Source organism: Homo sapiens, chromosome 4 (genome assembly GCF_000001405.40).
Source record: "Homo sapiens chromosome 4, GRCh38.p14 Primary Assembly".
Classification (NCBI taxonomy): Eukaryota; Metazoa; Chordata; class Mammalia; order Primates; family Hominidae; genus Homo; species Homo sapiens.
The window spans coordinates 87,865,505-87,868,416 of record NC_000004.12 but is presented as its reverse complement, the minus strand read 5'-3'; the positions used below and the strand labels follow the sequence as shown (position 1 = coordinate 87,868,416).

Here is a 2,912-nt window from a genome sequence, read left to right as displayed (position 1 = left end):
TCCAAGAATAGTTAATGTTAGTGGGCAGAGATATTGGGTACGAGTGGTGGGCTAGGGATTATGAAGAGGCAGAGTAGGGGTGCTTGAATAACCTCTTCTTATGATTTTTGGGGCATTAGGGAATGCCTTTATTCTGGGTCATCTTCCTGCCTGCTTTATATGATGCCTGAACTACTAGTAAGACTTAATTCTCATAGGGGAGTATTTTTCTTTTTTCTTTTTTAAGGAGATGTTCTTTAAAATGCAAATAATTCCCAGAGGAGAAATACATCAGTTTTGTAGGATTAGTTCTTCACATATAAGAATTATGCCAGATTAGCTGTTTTTATTTCACAAATGGGGGTGAGATACTGAATGTTTAGGAGTTTACTGGGTGCAGGAGTAAGAATGAGTTTTAAATAAAGTGTTGAGGGGTACTAATTATCCAGAGGTAACAAGAGGAGAAGACAGAAGGTAAGAAGGAGAGCTATATTATGCCATTTTGCTTAAGACTAACACTGGCTACAGTGGTACACCCAAATGCCCAAATATATATATAGAAACGGAATAGAACTAGAATTCTCATGAAAAATACTTGCAGTTTGCTGGCGTTGCTCACCTGTCAGTTCCTGCTCCTCTCTTCTTATCCTGCCTGTGTTGGAGACCATGCATTCTCAGCTGGGGTGATACTGCTCCCAAGAAGGAGGACTGGTTCTTGAGGGGTGAAAAAATTATACTATTTTTATGTCTAAAACACAGATATACATATAGCACATAAGCAAATATATGGTATATCCGTGGGAGGGAGTTACAAAGTCTTCTTAGGAAAGGCAATAATGAAAAGAAGGTTGGGAAACATTGATGTAGACCAGGTTAATTGGGAAGGCAAAAATCTGAGAAGAAGATACAGTTGGGGAAAAGTCACAAATAAAAGGCCAGATTTACTATGTATGGAAAAAAAATTAGGAGAGACAGAAAGGGGATAGTAAATCAGTAGACTTCAGGGAAAACATTTATGGTTGGTGACAAGATAGATCTCAGGGAGTCATGGGGAGAGAAATTGAGTGCAAGAGGAAGGGGAAAGGAAATTTCAAAACATATATTGCTGTGGATTGTTTATAGAATTCCCATTGACACTGGTCAAAGGAGGCAAGTAAGGATTAGAACTACACATGACTAGTTTTGACTTCTAAACTTCAGTGGTGGCATCAAAAAAGTCAATTCTTTGAGAATAATAATCAGTGTTTTCTCAGTCTTATGTAAAATGCAACAACAAAAAAATGCAGCTATTATAGGCTCTTTAGTAGCCCTCCAATAATATAAGTCCCTAAGCCCATATTATTTAGAAGCCACTACAGATGATTGTGTTCCTTTGAAAGCAGCATCTAGACACTGGGCTTCATGAACCCTGGACTTTATTTGGGTTATGGAGTTTATTAATTGCTCTAGAAGACATCTAAGCTGACTGGTCTATAGGGAGTGTTTCAGTTCTTAAGAGCTGCCTCAAAAGAATATTAACATTGTCCTTTGTGCATCTTTGAACACCCACCTACATGAATGCCACCAGTCTAGAAAAGTCCAAAGACTTGTGTCAGAATATCTACAAAGGAACCAGGCATCCTACATATTTCATTGGCCTTCCAAAGGAGCTATATCTTCTAATGATGGAGAGTAGAGAAATGATTTTTCAGATATCATGCTGCAAATTAATATCATTCTTGGGAAATAGATGAGGTCTACCTTGTTCCATTCACCGGCTTGAAATAGCAGGAATATAAATCAGAGAAAATGGCTGAGGTGAGTCTCAATCATTTTAGAGGTTTACTTTGCCAAGGTTGAGGACAAGAAAAGGAACACAAAATCACAGGATCATCTGTGATCCATGCTTTTTCCAAGGAGGTTTGGGACTTCAATATTTAAAGGGGAAAGAATGGGCAGTAGGGAAAAGAGAAAGGAAAAAGGCAGCCGGGGGGGAGGGTGTCAGGGGGAATAGATAAAAGGGGCAAGCTGTTGCATTCTTTTGAGGCTTTGATCATCAGTCACTGAATCCACATGTTACATGTGAAAGGAGGGGTTAGAGAAATAGTCAATTGTGCATTGCTCAGTGACTCTGCATTTTTACATGAGGTAAAGTAAACACAGAGGAAGAAATCAAATACTATTTGTCTCAGGCAAGGGGAGGGATCACTTGCAGTCCTGTTCTTTGACCCTTACCTGTGAAGATAACCTGTTAGTTTCACATTGTCAGGGTGAAATTCAACAGAACTGTTTTAGGGTAAAGATCTTGAGGCCCACAGGAAATTCCTTCATGAGGAAATTGTGTGGGAGGCCTCCTGGGGAAGTAGGTGGCCTTCTATCTTTGTTGCTATTTAGGGATAAAATGGGAGGCAGTTCTGTGTGGTTCAGTTCCCAAGGTTGACTTTTCCTTTTGGCATAGTGAGTTTGGGGTCCTCAGATTTTTATTTTTCTTCCACAGGATTCTCCCTGAAATGAACAACAATATGGTCCATTTCCCACTGTCAAGGATGTCCTCAAAAATCACTCATTGTATTGTGCATAAAGTCTTTTGGCTGCCAGAGAAAGTTTATTACACTGTACCAACGACAGTGAGGTTGTTTGTTAAATGGATTACAATACAAATAACTAAGTTATACTTTTCAAAAATAATGCAGACCGCATAGGTCAGAAAGGCATAGAGCTTTTGCATTAAATTAGGAGCACAAGTATTCCCATTCATTTAATAAGCAATCCCTTACCAATGATAAATGCCCAAATCACCAGAATCAATTATGTAAGTTAAAGGAACAAAACATGATTAGAACTTTCAAATGCAATTGAGTGCTTCCCTGCTACCCTTAAGTTGGCATCTGAGTGCTGGGAAGGTTTGAGGGAGAGAAGAGAGAAAAAGGAACAACATCACGGTCAAGGGCAGA

The 2,912-nt window shown here is 39.1% G+C and overlaps 1 annotated feature.

The window, feature by feature from the left end:
• Nucleotides 1,772–2,584: an enhancer, noted in NCBI's record as "OCT4-NANOG-H3K27ac hESC enhancer chr4:88786985-88787797 (GRCh37/hg19 assembly coordinates)". NCBI's record gives its function as "activates a minimal SCP1, AML or CMV promoter by ChIP-STARR-seq in naive H9 embryonic stem cells {active_cell/tissue: H9 hESC(naive)}" and the evidence as "EXISTENCE:reporter gene assay evidence [ECO:0000049][PMID:30033119]".